This window comes from Homo sapiens, chromosome 18 (genome assembly GCF_000001405.40).
Source record: "Homo sapiens chromosome 18, GRCh38.p14 Primary Assembly".
Lineage (NCBI taxonomy): Eukaryota > Metazoa > Chordata > Mammalia > Primates > Hominidae > Homo > Homo sapiens.
The window spans coordinates 14,449,458-14,451,690 of record NC_000018.10 but is presented as its reverse complement, the minus strand read 5'-3'; the positions used below and the strand labels follow the sequence as shown (position 1 = coordinate 14,451,690).

At 54.7% G+C, this 2,233-nt stretch overlaps 1 pseudogene; it reads left to right on the top strand.

Moving 5' to 3' along the window:
• On the top strand, window positions 699–1,472 carry LONRF2P1 (LONRF2 pseudogene 1; annotated as a pseudogene).

Genomic DNA, 2,233 nt, shown 5'->3' with positions numbered 1-2,233 from the left:
AAAATTCAATGTTTTTTGTAAACATAAGATCTCTTAACAAATCAGTTATAAAAAGAATATAACTCAATAAAATAAAGGCCATATATGATAACCCACAGCCAACATGATACTGAATAAGGAAAAATTGAAAACTGTCTCTCTAAGATCTAGAACAAGACAAGGATGTTCACTTTAATAACTTCTCTTCAACATAGCACTGGAAGTCCTAGCTAGAGCAATTAGAAAAGAGAAAGAAAAGACATCCAAATTGAAAAACAAAAAGAAAGTCAAATTGTCCCTGTTTGCAGATGACATGATTTTATGTATAAAAAACCCTATACTGAAAAACAGAAATAGTAAATGAATACAGTAAAGTTTTAGAATACAAAATCAGCATAGAAAAATCAGGTGCATTTCTATACCCAACAGCATACTATCTGAAAAAGGAATCCCCATTGAAAATAGCTATAAAAAAATAAAATGCCTGGCAAAATAAAGACGTCTAAAATGAAAACTATAAAACATTGATAAAAATCAATTGAAAAGATACAAATAAAGACAAGGTTATCCCATTTTTTGAATTAGAAGTGTTAATACTGTTAAAATGACCATCATACTCAAATCAATCTATAGGTCCAATACAATCTCTAACTAATTTGCAATGTAATTCTTCACGTTCTGCAGATGTTAAAAAGATTTTTAAAACCGTTTTTTTGGTTCTGCAGGCGAAGGCTGTGGCCGCGCTCCCGCCGGCCAGTTCCCAGCAGCAGCTCATCGCCCCTGCTCCGCGCCTTCGCTCCAGGCCCGCACGGTCTCAGCCCCGCGGGGATCAGCACTGAGCCGGTCCCGCCGCCGCCCCAGTGACGGGCTGCTGCTGCGGGAAGCCAATCGCCCAGCGCTTGGAGGAGGGCGACGAGGCCTTCCGCGCGAGCGAGTACCAGAAAGCAGTCGGGCTCTTCCGCTCCATGCTGGCCCGGCTGGCGCAGCCCGACCGCGGCCGGTGCCTGAGGCTGGGGGACGCTCTGACCCGCGCCGGCCGCCTCCCGGTGGCCCTGGGCGCGTTCCGTGTAGCCGGGAGGCTGGAGGCGCTGCGGCCGGAGGAGCTGGGGGAGCTGGCGGGCGGCCTGGTGTGTCCCGGCCTGCGCGAACGGCCACTGTTGGCGAGGAAGCCGGGCGGCGAGCTCAAGGCTAGGGAGGGCCGGCCCTGGCGCCCGGCGCGCCCCGCGACCTGCTTGGCTGCCCGGGGCTGCTGCACAAGCCGGTGACACTGCCCTGCGGGCTCACGGTCTGTGAGCGCTGCGTGGAGCTGGGGCCCGCGCGGCCACGGGCGCGGGCGCGGGCGCGGGCGCGTGAACGTAGTGCTGAGCCGCCTGCTGGAGAGGTTCTTCCCGGCCGAGTGCCCGCTGCGCAGGCTGGAGGGTCAGGCGCGGAGCCTGCAGCGCCAGCAGCAGCCCGAGGCCGCGCTGCTCAGGTGCGACCAGGCCCTGGAGCTGTGACTTGGCTGTGGGGCCGGCCCGCCTCCCTGACCCCTGTCAAGCCCAGCGGCTGGAGCTAACCCGCGGGCCTGGGCTTTCGAGCGCTTTGTCCAGGCGTAGGGGGTCACTTCGCTTACTAATGATGGGAAGGTGAAAGGTGGGGGAGGCCACTCCCTGCAGTCAGGGTGGCAGGTGTCAGAGGCCACATGCAACCCACTGGTTTTGTCTTTTCTAGGATGCTGATAAGTTTCCCGCGGCCCCCGGAGCAGCTCTGTAAGGCCCTGTAGTTGCCTTTCATTCCCTTCTGCTCTATTGAGGAGTGGGAGGATGACAAAGTGTTTTTGCTCAACCTGAAGGAAAATGCACATGGAAGGACACACTGGGTTATTATTTGAGTAGCCCAGGCAAGAGACCAGCGGTCTGCTTCAGCCATGAGACCACCTCAGGCCAAAATAGCCTTGTGGTTGTTTTACTTCTTTTCACCAAATGGGTCTTTTTGGGGTTTGTGGCGTGTCCCATGTAAGGATGATCTCTTGGTTCCCCTTTCTCATTCACACCCGGGGAGCTGAGGTGGGGTGGGGGGGGGGGGGGGTGAAGGGGAGTGGCCACCTGCGCCAGGTGTGAGAGAAGCCACACCTGAGACCAGCCCCTCTGTCCTCCTGCCTATGCATGCAGCGTCCCTGCAGGAGGCAGAAGGGGTGAAAAGTAGCCTCGATGTGAAAGTGCTTGTGTGTCCCTGAGGGGGGAGGCAAGTCACAGTCAGGGCACTGGTTCCTGTC